A 24,034-nucleotide genomic window follows, 5' to 3' on the forward strand; every position below is an offset into this window, starting at 1 on the left:
TTGTAGTTTATTTGTAGGAAAACTTTGCTTTAAAAAATAATTCTTTCCTTCTCCCCCTACCTGAATTTAGGCCATGAGCGGCCCAGCACCATATCTATCATCTGCTACTTTCATCCAATATAGAGAATTGAAATTCAAATTGAAACTATTTTGTTACTTAATAGAAATTCTGATAGATATAAGATTTGGGGGCACAAGGTTGTAACCATAAGCTAAAAATAAGATTTTGAAGGACTTTGTGTCCTTTATATTTTAATGGACAAAGAGATACTATTTCACTTTGTGTTAATCTCTCTGTCTTTGTCCATCTTTTGTTTCTGCCAAGCTGTATGGTTTTGATACATTATCAAATAGTGTGATTGCATTTATTTACCATTCAGTCTTGTCTTAAAATGAAGTGTTATTGTTAAAAGTTTTTAAATGGATATTGCATATATATTTTAATGGCTTTCAATACAATGTGTTGTTTCAAAAGACCTCAGATTCTGTTGGCAATGAGCAAAGTAGAGTAACATGGAATCATTTAACTATCTAGGATAGTCCACATGAATATCTAGAATATGGCCCCATACTTAAACTAAGTTTACTAGTTATGCTTCTTTTAGTTTTTTCTAAAAAACAGTATTATTTTGTGAGGGCTCTTAAGATGCAGAGACTGGTATCTTCTGATATGAGAAGTCATAGTCCAGATGTTCTGAATCACATCTAGGGAAGAATAGAGATTCTCAGAGAGGAGAGTTAGACCAGGAACATTCTAACACTAGCTCTCTGACCGTTTTTGGTTGTTTTTCTTTTTTTTTTTTTCAGAAGCAAAGGCAATTTCCACTGGAAACACAGCAGTCAGCATATCTTTCTAACACCAGTTCCCAGCCACACGTCCCTAGATAATCTATTGCGTTGACTCCTTCCTGACAGCTGAGCCAAGCCTGCTGATGTGGAGTTGAGTTTTCCGTTGAATGCTAAGTTGGCAAAAACTTGGCAACAATCCTGAATTTGCTGAGAGCAAAGCCTGTTAAAGCATACTGTGGGTTGCACAGGGATTTAGAGTTACGTAGCAAAAGCAATTATTTCACCAACAACTGAATGAGTGAAATAGGCTGCCCATTTCACAGAGGAGAGCTAAGTTATCTCAGCCATAAATTTAATTTGAAGGTCATTTTACTATATATATATTGGCAAAACACATCAAAACACAAAACACTGGAAAGCATGATTTGTTTCATGATACTGGATATTATTCTTTAAAAGCACGATGCTTTAGAAACATAGAAGTTTGAGGGACATTATGAATGTTAATGTTGGTATAGGGTGGGTCAACCTGCCCTTCCTTTTTCAATATCCTTGAGCAGCCTTATTCGACATATCACTGGGATGGAAGCCCCATCAGTGTGACCCAGTGGGGCAGGCCGTTTGCCTTCAAGATAGGTTGAGAAATCTGCATTTGCCTTGATGCTTTTCTGTTTCCTATCTAGGTCATCCTCGATTTTTCAACCAGCTCTCCACTGGATTGGATATTATTGGCCTAGCTGGAGAATGGCTGACATCAACGGCCAATACCAACATGTAAGTCTCATATGTTTTCATATAAGCAACCCTGATGTATGACTATGGCTTGTTGCTTTAAAAGTTCAGTCCCAGTGGTTCTATTTTATTAAAGTTTCCCTGGTCATTTTTTCTCTTAAAATCTTTAGGTTTATCACAGTTCTGATTTAATGGTAAATACTTGATAAACTATTGTTGAATTTAATAATGGAATTTAAGGAAAGCATGGTCATGAGAAATAATAACTCTAACTTCCAAAATGTAGTCTTGAAATTTCATGTTAAAAGACCCATTTCTGTTAATGGTGTATCTAAAGAGGTTATGTTTTGAGGTATGATCTTGGTTTTACCTTTTTCCACCCAAGCACATTGGTCCTTATCATTTAGGTCATGTTTCTTCCATAATTAAAGCAGCCATAAACCCACAAACCAATTTGATCAACCTATTGCTTAACTAAAAATTCTAAAACAAAATTCAGCCGATACTGATACAGTATATATTCTTTTCAAAATAAGTGATTGTTTTTCTAAATGTGACATTTTTTCATACTTGTTTGTGTAGGCAAAGCCTTCCTTTGTTTCTAAGTTCTTGAAAATTTACACAAAACTGACTCTGAGGTCCTGTAGGGTATGGGGTAGAAGTACTACCTGGGTAGTCTTATAGCAATCATCCCAGATTTTCCTCTACATGCATGTGCCCTCTTTTAAGAAAATGTCAGATTACTAATCGATGGAGGGGCCATCAGAGTACTGCCTTTGCTCTCAACACTAATGACAATGTTTTACCAGTATCTATACATCCAGACAATGGCACTACATCCTATTAAAGTATCCAAAGGAAAATAACAAAACAAATATCTTATAATAATTTAAAAACAACTATATAAGAATTACATGGGTGTCCATCACTGTGGAAATATTCAGAAAATAGCCACTCACTTTTTAAGTTCATAGAAAAGTAGATTCCAAAAAATGAATTTAGGTAAAAGGGTAGTATTGCTTAAAATGAGAAAATCCATTTGATATCAAGATAGAACGTAAATTACTGAAGTTTAAGGTAGTCTGTTTTTCTTAAACTGCTCTCAGCCAGAAAACCTGAAGGGCATTTAAAATTATATAGTGACCCATATGTATTCTAAAGCTGTTTAATGCTGTGACTCAGAATACTTAACTATATTCAGAAAAGTTTCTATTAATTAAGGATTCCTGTTTTCTTGGCTAATTTAAAACAACAGTGACAAATTTTAAAGAGCAAATGTGACAAGTGAAGCCTCTGGTGGTAAAAAAGCATAAAAGATTAAACTGATTGAAAAACTAAAACGATGTTCATGCTCCCTGCTTGCAGGTCATGGTTAGCTTCACAGACTGTCCATGTTGGGTCACTGAGATTTGGAAGAGCCAAGAGGAATACAGGTCAAAGATACAGTTGCTTGGAATTTGAACAAAAAGCTCCATTTAGCAATCTTTACTGTACTGTGATTTTTGAGATAAAAATATACCAGCCAGCACAGACATCATAGTAGAGTTAATTATAACTTGAGAAAAGACACTAATGTTTAATTGTAGTATCTAGCACTAAGGAACAATTTAAATTAGGAAATATAGTTGTTGTTTTTAACTCAACCATTTGGAAAATAAGTGAGGAAAACAGAGTAAAAGATACATATCTATTAAAGTCCAAGTACCCATATTAATACAAGCACTGAATTTACTCAGCACCTTTAAGTGTGTGTTCTGCAGGGCACTCAGCTGCTTTTTCCATGTATATATATGTCTCCAATCTCAAGGTAAATAACGGACCTCCCCCCTTTCAACCACTTATGACCAGATATTCCTAAACCAGAAAAATCCCACAAATTCTCCTTTTTTGGCATGTGTTCATAAAACCAAAGTCCCTTACTCTTCTCTTAGCTCAGCTGCAAAACACTAAAATGTGTCCCAGCCATCTGAGGTCAAGGCCAATCCAACTAAATGACATGTAGTAATTGCAGCTGTACTTGAATGGGAGATATTTATAAAATATGACCGATTCCAACAGATCGATAGAGAAGGTTATTTAAAATAGCAAAATAGTTTCTGTCAGTTCTGGAGACAAGGCATTGTCTGAAGAAGCAATAACTATTATCTAGAAATTGTTCTAAGCCAGTTGCCCTGGAAGATCATGAAATGTGGCAGCACTGTCAGGAGCTGAGGCAAAATTTGCTCCCTTGTGACAATTCCTTCTCCAGTCGGGAACAGTGTTCAAAATAAGTCTGGGAAAGAATGGCAAAAGGATCTTTCTATGGCAGTGCAGGATTTATTTAGTGATAATGCCTGGTTTTTGGTCCTGTACTCTCATTGAATTTAGGTGGCACCTGACATAGAAAATAAGAACTATATTCCTCAGTCATAGCCTCTTAAAAAGAACGATCCAATAACCTGACACAGGTGCAAAGTGCAAGGTGTCTGACTATTAGAATAGAAAGATGGTAGGTTGGGTGTGGTGGCTCACGCCTGTAATCCCAGCACTTTGGGAGGCCAAGGTGGATGGGTCACCTAAAATGGGAGTTCGAGGCCAGCCTGGCCAACATGGTGAAACTCCATGTCTACTAAAAACACAAAAATGAGCCGGGTGTGGTGGCGGGTGCCTGTAATCCCAGCTACTCAGGAGGCTGAGGCAGGAGAATCACTTGAGCCTGGGAGGTAGAGGTTGCAGTGAGCTGAGACTATGCCACCGCACTCCAGCCCGGGCGACAGAACGAGACTCCATCTCAAAAAAAAAAAAAAAAATCTATGTCCATGCCTTTACACCTGTTTCTGCACATAGCTGTGCAGTATATTCTTCTTCTAAGCAACGACCCAGTGAAGATCCAAACAAAAGTTCACAAATATGTAGTTATCCAAGGCACATACAGCTCTTTTCTTCCAGAACAGGGCCACCAAGCACAATTGCGCAGGTAGGGCCCGAGTGTAAACAACAGCCTGCCCTCAAACATCTAATGGCAATACATAATCTTAATGGCAAGATCTATCATAACCCTTTGCTATGAGGTTATGATTTCAAGTATCTAGCACTTTATTTTCATAGAAAATATCCAGGAGAAATTCTCTATGGGAGTTATTCATCATTTTACACCACCGGGCAGGTCATTAGATAGGAGCCTGCAGTAAGCAGTTCTCGTTTGTCATGGAAAAGCAGCTGTGACATAGACTTGGAATTCTGCTTAAACACACTAACTCGGAGATCTTAAAACAAACCACTGAATTTCTCTGAACCTCAGTTTTCTCATCAGGAAAATGGAGGATAATAGTATCCATCCTACAGAGTGGTTCTGAAGACTAAAAATGGCTCCAGTCCTAAGTGCCTAGCGTATACAAGGTACAGTGTTTGCACCTAGGAAAGGCAACCACCGCACAGTCACTGTTGCTATTTGAGACTTTCCTGACTCTTTTATTTCTGTCTCTCATCATCTGGACAGTAGAGTGTTTCCCTAAGCTCCCCTCAGCTATGTTACCTTTTAAGGTGAAGATGTACTACCTGCCACATCTGTAAGGAGAAGTCAAGAGGAGTATCAGGATAGAGTCAGCATGGAAGATTATTTCTCTCATTAAAGAAGTTCCCAGTTTGACAGTCACCAGGGATCCAGATTTTGTGTGCCTTTCTAATCCCTATTGTAGCACATGGCTCCCATCCTCAAAGTTGCATTATGGTGCAGCCTGGCTGCTGGAGCTCCAGCCATCACTCCGGTGTTCCAGAACTCAGAAAGGAAGGGAGGGAGGGAGGAAGGGAGGAAGGGAGGAAAGGAGGGAGGTAGGGAAGGGAGGGAGGGAGGGAGGGAGGGAAGGGCAAAAGAGACATACTCCTCTTTGATTAAAAAAAAATTAAAAAAAAAACCTTCTCAGAGGTCTCACACATTTCCATAAAGCCTCTTTAGCCAGAACTTAGTCCAAGACCACACCAAAAAAGGGTAGAAAATATAGTCTTCGATCAGAGTGAACAGCAACCCTAAATAAAATTTAACAAAGCAAGGGAAAATTGATATGGGTAGCAACAAGCAGACTCTGCCACACAAGAACTACAGCTTGTTGACAGTCAATTTGCCTTCGCTCTGAGTGAACTCCTCCGGGAAGGTGAGTTGAACCACTGCAAAAGGGCTGACTCACTTCCCTACTCGGAATATAGACATGCTCAGAATGCTCCTCTAGTGTCACTCCATGAATGCCACCATCCTACTGTTTTAAATCTTTACTTCCAATCCCATGTTCTTATGCTTCAACCCAGAGCTTCTGGCAGGTTTAGTTTCTGGTTCTGACTCTGAAATGTAATCTTGTACTTTGACTTTAGCATCTAACCAGCTTCTTCTGAATTCATATTTGACCTTTGATCTCTTGACTTCATTTGCTTTCCTCAGTCATTTAGGAAAACAGTACCCAACCTGGAATCTAGGTTGCAAGAGAAGAATCTCCTATAGTTCTATACAAAATGATGTGCCTATCTTCATTTTTTACTTGGAGAGAAGGACTACAGATTTCCTAGGATTCCCAAAGGGATCTGTAATCCCAATTAGGTGAAGAACCACTGGGCATGGTGGCTCACAACTGTAATCTCAGAACTTTGGGAGGCAAAGGCGGGAGGATCGCTTGAGGCCAAGAATTGAAGACCATCCTGGGCAATATAGTGAGACCTCCATCTCTACACAAAATAAAATAAAATAAAGTTAAAAATAAGAAATTTTTAAAAACTGCTTTGGTGAACTACAAGGCCTTCTTTAAGAGTGCAGCTGCACAGATTGTAAACATGGCCCAGGATGGGGCAGCAGGGTCAGAAGAAGTGTCAGGAATGAAGAACACCATGTCAGCCCATTTGTCAGGCCTGGCTGTGGATCAGCAGCCATGGACTGATATACTAGCTTTCAGGAGAGAGTGTCAGGCCTAAGCTAATAAGTCAGGAAAAGAGTGGAAAATTGGTCCTTTAGACTCAGGCAGGGACTATCAAACAGGATACAGCTAAGGCCAAGAACCAGATGCTAGAATCATCCTAGTAGGTTTCCTCCTCAAGGTTGAGAATGGTGTCTTCTAATATCTTAGTTTCCTTAGTACATAGGATGTCACCTGGCAGAGAATAGCCACTCAGTAAGTATTTGTTGAATAGAACTGAAAGAAAGTTTAGGAATCAGGTACCTGGCATAGATAAGGAACCTGAAATAGATTAGATCAGTTAAGCTCATGATAAACTCTCTAGACTCTTCCTCCTAATCCTGAGAGTAATGGCCATGTTCCTGGTCCTTGGGGAGGCTAATTCATGCAAACCTTGGGCCTAATTGGTTTTAAATCTGAAGCATGGAGTGGGACCTATGCCTGATATTCAGTCCCATTCCCTCTCCCTTGTCCATGTGGTTCCTGCCTGGCCAACACTGACTTGATCCTAAGCCAACTTTCATCCAGTCTTTGATATGGTTCTGATATTACGGTATGTGATTTCATTTGTTCCTTGCCTTACCCCAGAGAGCTTTCTTATATAGTACTGGGAGATTCTAGCACAGACACTGCCACCAGTATCTCCTCGCCATGCAAACATTTTTGTCATGTCAACATTTCCAAAAACCAGTGGAACCATTAATAACACATTTGTTCAAGAATGGTTAAAAGCCCATCATGAGTTTGCCTCTTGGTACACTTGGCAGCACAGGCTAAACCAGGAATCCTTCTCTTCTTCTTCCTTTATCAGGCCATCAGACATGAGGGAGTGTTGGTTGCTACGGTGATGGGGCTCAGAGCAGAACCAAAGCATGATTGTGACCTCCAGAGGTGATGGTAACTGCACACATGGTTTCCAAGGGTCTTCCTCCTAAATTTCCAGGGGCCTCCCAAGGAAAATGGACATATTCTTTTTGGAAATAAAATACTTCTACCAACATATCTGAGGATCCTTCAGGATCTTTTTGTCTTCTTTTACCTCCATGTGATTAATTTGACTGCTTTTTTCATCCACAATTAAAACTTAGTAGCTTCACCTGTGTCTTATGTAAAACAATAGTTATCTCATCCTTACAAATAGCTTTGCCTTACATTAAGCAAGCAAGAATTCCCATTAGTCTTCAACATTAGCACTTGGCTCAAACACCCTAACCAGTGATAAAGCTTCCCCATGTCACTTAGCTGAGTCAGTCTAGGCATCTCTTTTCGGTGAGGATGATCTGAGCCCAGCCTACAGACTCTAATGCTAAAGAATGCCAAGCAAAAACAAGAAAGACAAAAAGCCTCAGAGCTTAGTAAATATCTTTTTGTTTTCTGGCTTAATTTTCTGTGGACAGACCTTCCTTGATTTTTCTTAGGCCCCACGTTTGGTCTCACGATCTTGTTTCAATGACTAGTCTACCAGACTATGCCTCTGTGTTGAATTGCTTTGAAAAGAGCATGGCTTGCTACTTTTAAATCAGTTTCTTAGAAGACAAATGTAACCTTCCAAGATATCTGATGCCCACAGCTAGTTGTTTATGCCAGTTGACCGTCTTCTTGTTATTTATAATTTGTAATTAGAAAATCATCACTTAGAATTATTCTTGACAGATATTGACTTCAGAGAATTATAGAAACATAGCTGTCCTTGAGGATTATTACAGAAAAACCATGTAGATAATTATATTGAGATCTTTAAAACCTGGGTCAATATTTCCAATTATCTTCACAGTTAGCCTTCAGATGTTTACATTATTTTTAAAAGATAGACTTTGGCTCTGGCTTTTATATATTCTACAAGTGTGAAACTGGCAGTCAGCTTTTTTTTTTTTTTTTTTAAACAAATTGTAAACCAATTTTACATAGAACTTGGAATGCTTTTTTCAATTAACATTTGCATTGTCCTATAATCTTAGAGGTAAAAGGGACTCAGAAAAGTCATTTTCTTTCCTTCTATTCCTCTGGGTGGACCATGCCTAAGACATTCCATTCAGATAAGAATCTATTTTGTTGGTGAAGTATCACAGGGCTGGCACTTCCACCACCTCTCTCAGTAACCCAGGCTGGTTTCTGACATTTTATGATCGGCGACTTAATGCATTTCCAGGAAATGAATCATGTTAGTGGTTTGGAACAGCTTTTTTTTAGAACCCAACTACAAATACTAAACCAATCCTCTGTGTTCCTAAAATAAGTGGTTTGACTTCTTTATTTTCTTTCATCCTTCTTCTTACCACCTTTCCAGGTTTACATATGAAATTGCACCAGTGTTTGTCCTCATGGAACAAATAACACTTAAGAAGATGAGAGAGATAGTTGGATGGTCAAGTAAAGATGGTGATGGGATATTTTCTCCTGGTAGGTTTCTCTTCTCTTCCTCTTCTCAAGGTTTGGGATTCTTAAGAATACAAAATATGAAGTAGGTTTATGGAAGAATAATGCCTTAACATTTTTTTTGGATACCCTGACTTCCTATTTTTTCAAGATGAAGGCTAACAAAAATGCTACATTCTATATGAATTAACTAACAAAGGCTATGCTTAAATCTGTAAAAACTGACAAAGGCTGTGTCTAGATAATGCTAAATAACCCCATTTTTTCTTTTTTCTTTTTTTTTTTTTTTTTTTGAGACAGGGTCTCACTCTGTCATCCAGGCTAGAGTGCAGTGGTGTGATCCTAGCTCACTGCAGCCTCGAACTCCTGGGCTCAAGCAATCCTCCTGCTTCAGCTTCTCAAGTAGCTGGGACTATAGGCATGTGCCACCATGCCCAGCCGTTTTAAAATTTCTTTTGTAGAAACAAGGTCTCACTATTAAACAACTCCATTCTGTCAACAGCAGTTTGATTATGCTGGGGATCAGTGAATCAAGATTATTAATTAATTGATTGATTTCAGCCAAAATAGTATATCTACTTTGAATCTCTAGTTTGAAGTAGATAAAATAAGAATTTTTAAAACAAGAATAGGTATTCTGATGGTGTCAGAGACAGTGTGATTGTGTACAAGGGGAAAAGAAGAAATAAGAATTGCAGTTATCTAGGTAATTCAAGCAGACCACAAATTTGCCTAAGTTTAATTGTCAGATAATTAATGTAAAATTAACTAGTTTGTGTTGGCCAAACATACATAGTTATGTCAGTTCTCCTTGTGTCTTTATTTAGGTAAACATGAGTTTGTTCTTATTTTAATAAACTTAGAGCTCTCCTAAATGACTCAGTAACTCAGTTGGGCTGAAGAGAGCACCTAGGCAGGTAACCAAGAAATGTCATTGTTTCTTTCTGTAAGCTCCGTTACTCTTTCTTTCTCTGTCTTTCTGAACTCAGGGAACAGATTCATCTTTGTTCAGTAAATAGATTGAGCAGAAAGTAAAGCAGGAAGGATATAACTCACCTATCCCTTTGCAGCCACTGATGCAGCTACCTCTTATATTTCTGTCTAGACTTCAGGTGGAAAGCGCACTGAAGTACACGAATCACCTCCAGCCAAATTGCCTAGATAGCTTTGGTAATAAGTGTGACTACTTGTATTCCCAGGGTAAAGGGTCCAGTGGGAAGCCCCAGCAATAGGGAAGCCAGCAAAACCTATCAGGATATTATCCTTTCGCTTCCTGACCTCCCTTGTCTCTTGAGACACCAGCTCAGCGTTCGTTTTTAGAAACAATAATCAAAGAGCCCCAACACCTCCCAATATGTCCGCTTGCTGACAGGGGGCGCCATATCCAACATGTACAGCATCATGGCTGCTCGCTACAAGTACTTCCCGGAAGTTAAGACAAAGGGCATGGCGGCTGTGCCTAAACTGGTCCTCTTCACCTCAGAACAGGTGAGTCGGGGATGCTTTCTCATGGATAGTGGTGTTTTTTAGGGGACTTTCCAACTTCTAACCTCGAGCCTCTGTTTGTTGCAGAGTCACTATTCCATAAAGAAAGCTGGGGCTGCACTTGGCTTTGGAACTGACAATGTGATTTTGATAAAGTGCAATGAAAGGTAGGCAGGGGAGGGTGAATATTAGGTTCTTGATGTATTAAATGTGTTCATCTGTTAAATTTGTTTTATTGTGCTTAAGGACTGGCTCAGTACATTGTGCCAAGCTGCTAATGGTCTGTTGAAAATATCCGATTAAATTGCTTTTTGCTGCTGCTAAAGTTTTTTTCATGTGCAATCTCATTGACTCTTCATTTTAATTTCCCTCCTTTTCCAATAATTATAGGGGGAAAATAATTCCAGCTGATTTTGAGGCAAAAATTCTTGAAGCCAAACAGAAGGTATGTACTCCGTGGTGCATCTGAACTCCAGTTTTAAAATACCTTCTTTCTGTCCTAGACAAAAACAGTCCTTGATAATATGAGACAATTTTCTTGTGCTTCTAAAATTCTATTCTTCAAATTTGCTTATTTCCAACTAGTAAAATAATTTGGTTTTAAAGCTGTGTCTACACAATATCAGGGTTTTTTTAAAAAATGAAAAATTTGGTCATTAAACTATTTGTCCTATCTTCATTGTGCCAAGTGATTGGTTTGATGTTCTTCAATAAATCAAATCCCTGAGCATCATGAAGATATAGCCTAATTGAACTTTTTATTTACTACTTGTTGGGTATTATCTCATTTTAACAGATGCCATTTTAGCTTAGGATTCTGTTTAGCAAAGTGCTTCCATGCCCTGGCAGATGGCCCATGGTACTTGGCACATCCAGCCTCAACAAACTCTATTAAACAAAAAAACTCACAGAACAGATGTATCCACAAGTCAGTGCCAGGTAGCTGTCAGGCCACTTACCAACACATGGTTGTTTCAGTTACATTCTTATACCTCCTTCTCTAATTGTAGTTATTTGCTGGGGTCTTGGCACAGGAAGTGGATCTAAGTGTTGTAAAGACTGAGCAAGGAGCAGAGGTGGAGCTGAGCTTCACAAAAGCCTAAGAGGCAGGGCATGGGGGCTCGCACCTGTAATCCCAGCACTTTGGGAGGCTGAGGCAGGAGGATCCCTTGAGCCCAGGAATTCAAGACCAGCCTGGGCAACATAGGGTAACCCACATCTCTGTAAAAAATTTTAAAAAATAGCCAGGTGTGGTGGTGCACGCCTATAGTCCCAGCCACTCAGGTGAGGTAGGAGGATTACTTGAGTTGGAGAGGTAGAGGCTGAAGTGAGCCATGATCGTGCCAATGCACTCCAGCCTAGGTGACAGAGCAAGAACCTGTCTCAGAAAAAAAGAAAAGCTTAAGATTCACAGATTTCCCCAAACTTGTCTTAGATCTATTACTCTACTCCTTCGTTTATTTTTTGTTTATGTCAACATTTAACCACGTCCACTGTTAGTGAGTGTATCAGCTTTCACAGTGTATAGACCTTTTTTAAATAATTGAACCCCACAATGTTTCAGTATAATTATTATATCAATACACTTAAAACAACACAGCCTCTTAAAAGAATGATGCACAGGTGATATTCAGAACTATCTGACCATCATTCCAAACACTTATTATTACTCTTTCCTGCTTTATTTTTTGCCATAGAAATTATTGCTATTAAACATACTGTATATTTTGCTTATTTAATTTAGCTTATTATCTGTCACCTGCCACTAAAATGTAAACTCCGCAATGACAGAATTCTTTATCTGTTGTGCTCACTGCTGAGTCCCTAGCATCTATGGCAGGGCCTGGCACATAAAAGGCAATCAAAAAATGTTTGTTGAATAAATGAATGAATGAGTGAATGAGCCAACAAAACACTACTAGACATAGTATCTGGTAATACATAAGTTTTGCCATTTACTGTTAGAAATAAATGTTACACAATTCTTCTTCCTGTGAAAATCAGCAAATGAGAAAGGTTAAAAATACTCATCAGCCTATATCTGTCTTACCTTGTAGGGATATGTTCCCTTTTATGTCAATGCAACTGCTGGCACGACTGTTTATGGAGCTTTTGATCCGATACAAGAGATTGCAGATATATGTGAGAAATATAACCTTTGGTTGCATGTCGATGTAAGTGCTATATAACTCAGGCCAGTCCATGTGGGGGGTGGAGGCACCTCTTTTTTATGACTTGCCTCAAGCTTCTCCCCACGCCCCAGCCAGCCCTCTCTCCACACCACATTAGTTCCAGTTCTTGTCTGGACCCTAGCCAGCCATTCACAACTGGTACACACCACAGACCTGGAACATCCTCTGGGACTCATCCACTTCCTTACTAGTCGATTGCTGTCTTCTGTGGTTCATCCTAGAATATGGTCTCATTGCCTTCCCAGGTAGCTTTGTTGGGACAAGTGGCTACAGAATAAAATATAACTGATTTCAGAGGGAAAAAATAGAAGACACAACATACAGAAAGTGGCCATGAATGTGAACCCTCAGCTACCTGCCTTCAGTCCAGCCGTCTATGACACGTCTCTTAAAAAGGTTATATCTGGCTGGGCGCGGTGGCTCACGCTTGTAATGCCAGCACTTTGGGCGGCCAAGGCAGGTGGATCACCTGAGGTCAGGAGTTTGAGACCAGCCTTGCCAACATGGTGAAACCCCGTCTCTACTAAAAATACAAAAATTAGCTGGGTGTGGTGGCATGTGCCTATAATCCCAGCTACTCTGGAGGCTGAGACAGGAGAATCACTTGAACCTAGGGATGGAGGTTGCAGTGAGCTGGGATCACGCCACATCACTCCAGCCTGGGCAAAAGAGCAAAACTCTGTCTCAAAAAAAAAAAAAAAAGAAAAAAGAAAAAGAATATCTGCTACATTTAGGAAAAATAAGGCAGTATACGGAAGGCATTATCAACTAAGAGACTTAATCCCAAATCTTCCCAGGAACACAAAAGATGCATTTTCACATGTGTGACTGGGTGTATTTTTTTTTTTCTTTCTCTCTGCCCATTTTCTTAGGGATTTAACTTCTCACAATTGGCCAATAGGATCATCTGCCTTGCTACTGAACTAATGACTAACAAAGGCTGTGTCACGTGGCATCCCAACTATTCAGTAAACATGCATCATGGTACCCACAAAAATGTCTTGTTGTTACATAAGTTGTTGTGAGACCTCCAAACCCAGCAGGAACTGCTGCTTTTTGAGTTTTTCAGGAGCTGTTAGAATTCTACTCTGGGAAGAACCAGACAGCAGGCCTCAGTTTTTTGAGCAGCTTCCAGAGCCACCCGGAGGGGGACTCACTGTGTTGGCTTTCCACAACACATTGGGCTAATGGGCCATTGGACCTTTGGGTCTTGGCAGAACAGGCACCTCAGGCTCAGACCTGGCCTAGCTGTATCACTTGTGCAGCTAAAGTCCAGAGGAACTTTGAAAAAGAAATGACAAGCAATGAAGAATCACAACTGATTGAACAATCAGTGTGGGCTGAACTTTTCTGAGAAACTTATGTTTTTCACCTTGTACTTTCTTGCTCATGTTTTAGTAGAAGTGAGGACTGACTAGTTTTAGATTCTTAAATGTCACTGCTCCCCTCTTCCTCTCCTTTCTCTGTCCCCACAGGCTGCCTGGGGAGGTGGGCTGCTCATGTCCAGGAAGCACCGCCATAAACTCAACGGCATAGAAAGGTAACGGCCAGAACTCGCCAGGCCTCCTTCCACCCAGCACATCAAACAGACCATGCTCTGATGTCAGCCTGCACCACCCTGCCCTGATCCCCAGCATCATATTTCGGTCTAAGTTTGCTTCAGTTCAGCAGGCATTTGTTGAGCATTTATTGGATGACTGATTTCCCAGTCAAATGAGTCCTGAAGGAGTTCACAATTTAGAAAGAAAGAAAGACAGGCCAGGTGTGGTGGCTCACGCCTCTAATCCCAAAAATTTAGGAGGCCGAGGTGAGAGGATCATTTGAGCCCAAGAGTTCGAGACCAGCCTGGGCAACACAGTGAGACCCTGTCTCTAATAGCTATCAATCAATCAATCAATCAATGAGAAAGACAATAAACAAGTAGTTAGAACACAATGTGATAAGTGTAACAGGAGACAATTGCAGGTACCCAGGTAGGAGATAAGAGAGACTAACCAGTGAGGGGAATTGGAGGCCATCAGAGTTTGCCAAGGGCACAGGAAGGGCCACTGGTTCACTTTCCTCTTCTTCCTCATTAAGCTTACTTCCAGAAAGGGCAGGACACTCAGCTCCTAACTTATTTTCTTTTTCACTGTTCAAATTCAGTGGATGTTCTAGGCCAAATATGATTTTGACCTGACTCCTAAGTGTTGACCCATAACAAAGTCACAATGATTCATTGATTCGTTCAGCATGTATTTACTGAGCACCTATCATGAGCCAGGTAGGAGTTGATGTGAATATTCAGTTATGTGTCTTCCATCCAGCCACCTATGGTGCTTTTCTAATAAAAATGCATATCTGATAAATGCAGAAAAAATAAGGCAGTATATGAAAGGTGTTATCAACTAAGAGATTTGTCCTCCTGAAGTTTACATTCCAGTGGGCTAGATGTTCATAACAAATATTTAATCTGTCTCATAGTAAAGAAAAATAAAACAGGGTTAGGTAGCAGTGAGTGACAAGGCATGCTGTTTCAGACAGGGTAGTCAGAGGCCTTCCTGAGGAGGTAACATATCAGCAGATACTGCGATAAAGGGAGACAGGAAGCAAGGATATGAGGAACAGTATTCTAGGCAGTGCGAGTGGCAAGTGCAAAGGCCCTGAGGCAGGACTGTTCTTGGCAAGTGGGAGGAGGATCAAAGAGGCCATTGGGGCTGGAGCAAGGTGAGAGAGGTAGAAGCAGACTAAGGAGGGAGAGGCAAACATGGAGCAGGCAGGGAGAGCCCGCCCAGGGCTTCTCCCACAGCCAGGACTCTGGCTTTTGTTACCTCTACTGTGCCTCCCCAAACTTTTGTCTCAGTTTTGAAAGACCAGTGTCAACGTGGGTGAGACCGGCTCTGTGAAGTGGACAACCCCGTAACTCGGAGGATAATGTAAAAAATCTGGGCAGGGTGTAGTGGCCTGTAATCCCAGCACTTTGGTAGGCCAAGGAGAGCAGATTACTTGAGCTCAGGAGTTCGGGACCAGCCTGGCCAACATGGTGAAACCCCCGTCTCTACTAAAAATACAAATATTAGCTGGCATGGTGGTGCACACCTGTAATTCTAGCTACGCAGGAGGCTGAGGCTGGAGAATCACTAGAACCTGGGAGGCAGAGGTTTCAGTGAACCGAGATCACGCCGCTGCACTCCCGCCTGAGTGACAGAGCAAGACTCTGTCTTAAAAAAAAAAGAAAAAAAAAAGAACTGTGGATGAGCCAGCCCAATTTAACTTTAGATTTCTCAGACAATTTTAATTTTCTGTCTTTGAGTCTAGGAAAACTTAAAACATTTCACACTAGACTTTTTCTTTTCTAACATTTTAAATCACATAAGTCTTCTAAAGGAAATTGAATTCATATTATGTCTTATTACTTTCCTTTTGTAGCAGCAAAGAATCATTTACTTCAGACCTTTAGGATATGCAGAAAACCATTTAAGACATTTTATGAGACCTAAATATAATTTTTTAATGACTTGGTAAATGATAGCAATGAGAAATTTGATTAAATTCACTACCATTTAAATATGACCTGACACTGATGCTTTTTAGTGAGCTAAGCACTTAGTTAACTTTCCTTGGAATTTTTCACAGGTCTCTTTCACAAAGGTTTTATTATACACTGAAGGGAAAAGTTCTTCAGACCTTCCTCTCTTCTCCTTGAAACAGAGTGCACTAAATTATTTTGTTAGGTCCTTTAACTAAAGGACCTAAGCACGATGAAGAGGTTGAAAGTTCACAACAAGGGTTTAGCTCTAGGGAGAGCAGAGGCAGGATGATTCTGAGCCAATTGCTCTATCTAGGGGAAAAGATCCTTCACAGGTATTAAAATGCAGCACCTAGCTATAGGCCAGGCCTTTGGGAAGGAGTCTGCAAACCAATGAGGCAAGTTACCCATGTTTTCATCATCATACATTAGACTTAGTTGTTTCTGTAATGCCCTAGCTAGTGTGCTCCTTAACCATCTAATTGTGTCTGACAGAATGATGCAGTTGCTAGGAGACCATGCTTGTTAAGCTATCATTGCAGCCCAAACTGGCAAAATCACTCTAATTTAGCATTTAAATAATTCTGCTAGGTAGTCAGAGTCTAGAGTAGTCCAGTCGAGCCTTGCTTTTAGGTGCCACTCTTGATACTGCCCCATAAGTGGGTAGGGCAGCATCACCAGCCTATAAATGAGAAGAGAAAGGCAGAAAGAAGCCACTGTGTCTCCTAGAGAGAAGCAGTCTAGTGGAGTGGTTACAAAAAAGGGCTGTGCACTTAGAGGCCCTGGACTTGAATCCAGGCTCCAACACTTCCCAACTCTGTGACTTTGGGTAATATATTTAACCTTTTGGCATGTTAGTTTCCCCATCTAAAACAGAGGTAATAATAGTACCTACCTTATAGGGTTGTGGTAAGGATTATGTGTGCCAGGCACTCTTATAAGCATTTTATATTAAGTTATTTTGTCCTTTATTCAATTCTGTGAGGCACACACTCCCCATTTAAAAGAAACTGAGGCACATAAGAGTTATATAATGTGCCCAAGCTAACAAATATTAGAGCTAGGACTCAGACTTAAACAGTTTGGCTCCAAAGCCTGAATTCTTAACCATACCATATTGATATAATACCTGAAAGCTCTCAAGACAATAAGACATATAATAAGTTATTCATAAATGTTAGCTATTGTTAATAGCAGTTACTTCTAAGATATAGTCCGTAATGTAATACTCCGAGACTGCCTGCAAAACATTTGTTTGCTACTTGATTAGTCAATTCAGGAGAATAGGCATGGATAATATTTACTAACTTGAGTTGGAATGGGTGTTTTCCTCAAGAGAACAGTTGCGTCTTTCCAACTCCTGCACCTTCTCGAAGTCTCATGTGCTTCTTTCAGGGCCAACTCAGTCACCTGGAACCCTCACAAGATGATGGGCGTGCTGTTGCAGTGCTCTGCCATTCTCGTCAAGGAAAAGGTCTGTACTCCCTCCAAAGCTACACTGGGGCCCGTACGTTCTTTAGAAAGCACAAAAAGACACACGTGGGGTCTCTTTGCAGTACTTGTTGGCTGACTCACGAGATTGGCAGCCCCACTGAGAGACTACTGCTGCTGTCCTTTCCTGCCCTTGCAGCTAACCTGGTTTCTTCTCTTGGCTCTTGCTGGCTACTGTGCTTCTTCTTTGATCAGTACTCAGGGTCTGTCAGCAACTGAACCTTTAAGGAAATTATTTAATTGAGTATTCCTTCATGTTTGCACAAAAAAAGTGGGAGCAAGTAGGTGAGGCATCCAATCAGTTTTGTCCTCAGTGAGGACAAAAGCACTCACTGGAGCATACTCGGAGTTCTTAGTATAAACGTGTGGTCCCAAGAACTGAAATAAATGAGACAGAACAACAACTACAAATATCAACTTAGGGCCACAAGGAATATTGCCCCAAAAGCTGCTGTAAATGGTTGAGCCTCATATTCCCTTCTTCACATGCCTAATGTTAGGATCCTGCCCTCCAAGGCTTTGTTGCTCCAGTAAAACTTCTGCACACAGAAGCATTCCAAAAAGTCTGTCTCCAGCCTGTAGGAGCCAGAATCTGCACAGCGTCTTTAGTCCACTCATATGTGGAATCCATGTTAATGTCATAGGAGGTCCTGGAAAGGTTGGAAGACTTTTGCCAGAGCGCTTTTGGAGAGAAAAATTCTTCACAGCATGAAACTATCCCACCCACTGAGGAATTTTCTATCTCTAACCCTGGCCCACTGAATGCCGTAGCACTTCCCAATCTTGAAACAATCCCAGACACCCATACACATTTCCCCTTAGAGGGATGGCATCTGAGACGGAAAGATCATCTTCTAATCAGAGAGTCAGAGACAAAAGGGATGGCAGTTTTTCCAAGAGTGATTTTAGAAAAGGGCATCAGAACAAGTGTAAGGCCTCATAAAGACATCAGAAGAAAGATTGCATATGACCCCAAGCCCCTCCTTCCAAGCAGCCTAGTTTTAAAGCCACCCACATCTCTGATGTGTAAATGCAGATGCACCCATCTTAATTTCCATGATAGGGTATACTCCAAGGATGCAACCAGATGTGTGCAGGATACCTCTTCCAGCCAGACAAGCAGTATGATGTCTCCTACGACACCGGGGACAAGGCAATTCAGTGTGGCCGCCACGTGGATATCTTCAAGTTCTGGCTGATGTGGAAAGCAAAGGTATGAAGGGAATAGTTCAGGAAATAGAGCAGAAATGTAATTTGCACAGACTGGCTGGCAAAAGAGGGGCAAAGATATATCACAGATAATTCACTATATGGGGAATCAATATCTAGATAATTGAATTAACTGTGTTTTCTTTGTGAATGAAATTACTTTATTCCTTATGTCAAATTCTCTCTCCTTTTGTTCAGTCTCCTCAATTTGAACTATTATGAAGTCTTCTTATAACGTTCTCTTATAACAACTAAAAATTATGCCAAGATAAGGATTTCTGCAGCAATCCTTGGGGATGCTGGAATTATTTAGTGCAGGCATAGAGAAAGATAAAAAAAAATAAAATTACTGCATTATTCTGAGTAGAACCTTGAATTCTTTTTTTTTTTTTTTTTTTTTGAGATGGAGTCTCACTCTGTAGCCCAGGCTGGAGTGCAGTGGCGCGATCTCGGCTCACTGCAAGCTCCGCCTCCCAGGTTCACGCCATTCTCCTGCCTCAGCCTCCAGAGTAGCTGGGACTACAGGGGCCCGCCACTACGCCCGGCTAATTTTTTAAAAAATATTTTTGGTAGAGACGGGGTTTCACCGCGTTAGCCAGGATGGTCTCAGTCTCCTGACCTCATGATCCGCCCACCTCGGCCTCCCAAAGTGTTGGGATTACAGGCGTGAGCCACCGCGCCCGGCCCCTTGAATTCTTTTATGAGGCTTCTCAACATGGGCTATGTATGACAGTTTTAACTTCAACTTCAATAATGCCTTTCCCATTGTTTGTAGTTAATACACCATTCTGGAAAATGTATACTTTATTGTGAAAAATCCTACTTTTAGATGGTAGCATGCTGTGTCTGCATTCATCAACCTTTTGGGTTTCATTTCTGTACCTAAGGAAAAAAGCTAACTATTGGAATTTCCCCCAAAATATGAGTGAGGGAGAGGATTACCATTTGATTATTTGTTTCAAAAATATTTGTATGCAATCAAGGAAAAGAAATTTTGATTTCATAGTTTTATATTACATACCTTGTTTTTGTTATAAATTAATTTTAATAATTTCTATGTTTAAGATTGAGTCTAACTGTCTAACTAACACTCAAACAACAAGATTTTCTGGCAAAATTTCTAGTCAAATATTTCTTCTGTAGGAAAAATTTGGTAGATTATTAGTTTTTTCCTCAGTAAGTCATTTTGTCTTTTTTTTTTTTTTTTTTGAGACAGTTTCATTCCTGTTGCCCAGGCTGGAGTTCAGAGGCGCGATCTCTGCTCCCTGCAACCTCCGTCTCCCAGATTCAAGCAGTTCTCCTGCCTCAGCCTTCCAAGTAGCTGAGATTACAGGCATGCGCCACCATGCCCATCTAATTTTATATTTTTACTAGAGGCGGGGCTTCACCATGTTGGCCAGGCTAGACTTGAACTCCTGACCCCAAGTGATCCACCCACCTTGGCCTCCCAAAGTGCTGGGATTACAGGCGTGAGCCACCGCACCCAGCTCTATTTTGACTTAATATAGAAATAGTCTGAATTTGATTTCTATTACAAAGTAATCATAGGAATTTTAAACATATAAATAGCCATAGGCTGGGCACGGTGGCTCACGCATGTAATCCCAGCACTTTAGGAGGCCAAGGCAGGCGGATCATTTGAGCTCAGGAGTTCGAGACCCATCTGGGCAACAAAGTAAGACCCCATCTCTACAAAAAATACAAGTTAGTCAGGTGTGATGACGCATGCCTGTGGTCCCAGCTACTTAGGAGGCTGAGGTGGGAGGATCACTTGAGCCCAGGAGGCGGAGGTTGCAGTAAGCCGAGATCATGCCACTGCACTCCAGCCTGGGCAACAGAGTGAGACTCCATCTCAAAAAAAAAAAAAAAAAAAAAAAGCCATAAACGGCAACAACAAAAAAGGAGTCGTGTCATTTTGAAATATAATGACCACACAACCTGTTTCAGTAATTTGTGTCTTCTTTTTTGTTTCTAACAATAACCTCTTGAACCATCTGCTGCAGGTTTTGACCATAGTGATTGGTTGCTGAAATGGGACCCTGGTACAGGCTTCATTCCTAAGTGGACTGACTAGGGTGTACAGTCAGCAGTGACACTACCTGGGGAGGCTGATGCTTTCTCAGTGCTGGACTTTGCTCAGGCCCATTAGCAATCCACAGCCAGCCTTGTGCATCTGCTCTCCTTGTTAACACCGACCCACTCAACAACCCTCATACTGCTGTTATTAATCAGCCATGCTGGCTTTTGAAACTCATGCTCAACCAGTTTGTCAATAGTTGGAACTATTGCAATATCAGGGCATATACTGAGACCAATGGCTTCCCCATCTACCTGCCTGCCTGTCACCTAAAAGGCATAACACTGTTATGTGGAAGGTTGCCTGCCTGAGAGGGCATGGGACATGTTTCACAAGGACTTACTGCTGGGGAAGATGAGTTCTACAGCAGTATCTTTCGAAGTTTTTCTGATGAAGAACCAGTTATTTGTTGTTGTTGTTGTTGTTTTTCACCTATCATGGACCAATACCCTAAAGATTAATTGTTAGAAAAATGAAATTTAAAAACATACAAAGAACAAGCCACTGTTTTTTATTAGAGTCAACAGACAAAATCCCTTTGTCCAATTGCCATTAAAGTTTCCTATGCTTAATCTCAATTTCTACACTCATTTGATTGTAGACCAGTTACAGTTGTGGAGTGGCCTCAGTTCATAGATGACACTTTGAGTAGCACCATCCTAAAGCAAACCAGAATCAGGCATAGGTCCAGTTGAGAATAACTACCCAGAGACTGGAGTGCCTTTGAAAGAGGAAGCAGGCACACATCATTTATTGCATGCACATCTGTGAAAAAGCTGACATATTTGATTAGATTGTTCTTCCTAACCAGCTCCAAAAATACTTTTTTTGTTTATTTCCCATAGACAGGGACAGCATAGCCTTCCCAAATGCTCATCACAGGGAAATGCAACCACAAACATGACTTTTCTCTTTAAAACAGGGCACAGTGGGATTTGAAAACCAGATCAACAAATGCCTGGAACTGGCTGAATACCTCTATGCCAAGATTAAAAACAGAGAAGAATTTGAGATGGTTTTCAATGGCGAGGTAGGTAATCATCATGGACCAGGTACACAGTATTTCCAGAAAAACTGCTGAGGGAAGCTCCTGAAGCTTCTGGCAACATGGGAAAATCAATCCCATGTTGCCAGAAACTGCTTCAAAATTTTTATTCTTATACACTCTTAATTCCTCTCTTTAATTCCTTCCATGTCTATGAACTTTTCTTCTGGTAGCACTGGGATGACTTTTTCCTTTACATCTTTTAAAACTGTGTTGCTCTTGGCCAGCTTTTGGCAGACAAGAGGTCTTTCCTTGACAGGTCTGAATCCTTCATCATTCTTGGGTTTGTTTTGTGTTGAACCTTTATGAAAAAGTGTTTTTCAGGCTGGGCATGGTGGCTCACACCTGTAATCCCAGCATTTCGGGAGGCCAAGGCAGGAAGATTGCTTGAGTCCAGGAGCTCAAGACCAGCCTGGGCAACATAGCAAGACCCTGTCTCTATAAGAAAAAATATATATAATTTATGAAAAGAAATTTTACAAAACGATAAAGTGGTTTTCATTTCCAGGAAGCTTATAGGATGGGTATATTCTTACCTCCCAAGACTTGTTCTAAAATAAGGTTCTACTTAACATAGACTCATAAGGAAGAGAGCAAGATAAAATTGTCTCTGCCCTCAGTTCATGTGCATACTGCACACAGCAAAGTATTTGTCAGTGTTTACTGAGTACCCACTGTGTGCCAGGCCTCCTGCTAGGACCTAGATTCTAGAGTATTGAACAAAACAGATACATTCTCTGACCCAATGGAGCTTACACTTGAATAAAGAAAGATAGAATAGGAGCCAGTGTTGAATAAAAGAAAATCCACTTATAAGCCAGTATAATATAACACTGCTTACAGTCAACATTATTCTATTTATCAGGCAACCTAAACTACTAGGAACACATGTGAATCACCAAATGAACAAAAAAGAGCCCTGGGCAGTTTAAAATCAGTGACACTGCTCTGATCATTTACACACTACTTTAAACACTCTTAATAGCAGATTAAAAACAACAAATGTGATATCTCAAACCAATTAGAGGCAGGCACAGTAATGGCAAACAGCAACCAGCGAGAAAACTTTATAGCAAGAATAGGGAAGAACTCAAAAAGCACAGGAATCTTTAGAGGAGGGACACTAAACAGTTTGAGGCATCTCAACAGGCCTTGCCTTATGCTGTAGAAACAGTCTTTTGGTTTTTTTTAGGAGCAACCCTATTAATTGATATATCCAGTCTTAATGTTTGTTATGATAGTCCTGAGTCATCAAGAAAAGATTCAATATCAATATAATAAACTCAATAAAATATTCATCAGCATCCATAAACTATGTTTCAATTATCTTCTATATGTGAGGCACTACAAAATGACAACATGGACAGACGGATACCTTTTTTAAAAAATTGCCCAAATGTAATTATTTGTAACATTTCAATGTTTAAAGTCGGTAACTTTAGTTACCTAGAAAATTGGTTGTAGGGAACAGCTCTCTTGCCACATATGATTGGATAAATGAGGCATTGTTCTCCCTGGTGTGGAAGTAACATTGCCTTTGAGATGAACATTCAACCTCTTTCTTTGGTCCAAGAGACTTCCACCAAGGATGCATATTGGTTTGGGAACAGCTTTCTCTCAAGTTATCCTAATTTTCTTTGTTTGTCTTTTAAAATCTCTGCAGCCTGAGCACACAAACGTCTGTTTTTGGTATATTCCACAAAGCCTCAGGGGTGTGCCAGACAGCCCTCAACGACGGGAAAAGCTACACAAGGTATGGACTTGCTTTTTGTCTCATCTAATCCTCTGCAATTTCTCTGGCTGGTCAGGACATCCTCATTCCAATGTGCCTTTCTAGTGGGGGAAATATAAAAAATAAAGCCTTGGGGTGGGTTTCTAGTAATGGGGTGGTGGGGAGCCATCCTGTTATATTCCTCTTGAGCCTGCATCGCCCCCTTACTGTGGTTACCACGGGAACTTCTAAAGGATGCATCTTGTCTCCTTGTCCTTGGTTGATGTTCTTCATTAAAGGAGCCCTATGCAGGGTAAGGGAATAATGTGCATATTCCTAGGGACATTCTAGATTAAACTGTGTCTGTTACAATAACATTTTAAGTTCAGGCCCACTGTAATGCTGATTCATTCTAACTGTTTTCTATATCCAGTTTATATCTTATCCAGGGTTCTTAAGATTATATTTAATTTATATAACATTTCATTCATCCAACCATTCAA

At 40.5% G+C, this 24,034-nt stretch overlaps 1 protein-coding gene across 8 annotated transcripts in view; it reads left to right on the forward strand.

The window, feature by feature from the left end:
* The window catches only part of GAD1 (glutamate decarboxylase 1), a 47,942-nt gene that overhangs the window by 22,111 nt on the left and 1,797 nt on the right, over positions 1 to 24,034 (forward strand). For 3 of the 8 annotated variants that reach the window (XM_011510922.1, NM_000817.3, XM_017003756.2), the window contains exons 6-16: positions 1,473 to 1,563; positions 8,725 to 8,837; positions 10,186 to 10,301; positions 10,386 to 10,465; positions 10,689 to 10,743; positions 12,356 to 12,472; positions 13,966 to 14,030; positions 17,394 to 17,472; positions 18,553 to 18,702; positions 21,698 to 21,805; positions 23,484 to 23,573. In XM_011510922.1, the coding sequence (XP_011509224.1) occupies positions 1,473 to 1,563; positions 8,725 to 8,837; positions 10,186 to 10,301; positions 10,386 to 10,465; positions 10,689 to 10,743; positions 12,356 to 12,472; positions 13,966 to 14,030; positions 17,394 to 17,472; positions 18,553 to 18,702; positions 21,698 to 21,805; positions 23,484 to 23,573 (1,064 nt within the window). Of the gene's footprint in view, positions 1 to 1,472; positions 1,564 to 7,248; positions 7,440 to 8,724; positions 8,838 to 9,256; positions 9,731 to 10,185; positions 10,302 to 10,385; positions 10,466 to 10,688; positions 10,744 to 12,355; positions 12,473 to 13,965; positions 14,031 to 17,393; positions 17,473 to 18,552; positions 18,703 to 21,697; positions 21,806 to 23,483; positions 23,574 to 24,034 lie in introns of those variants that run through there. The other 5 variants (XM_047443874.1, XM_024452783.2, XM_017003758.3 and 2 more) reach the window with 5 other exon arrangements.

Source organism: Homo sapiens, chromosome 2 (assembly GCF_000001405.40).
Source record: "Homo sapiens chromosome 2, GRCh38.p14 Primary Assembly".
Taxonomy (NCBI): Eukaryota; Metazoa; Chordata; class Mammalia; order Primates; family Hominidae; genus Homo; species Homo sapiens.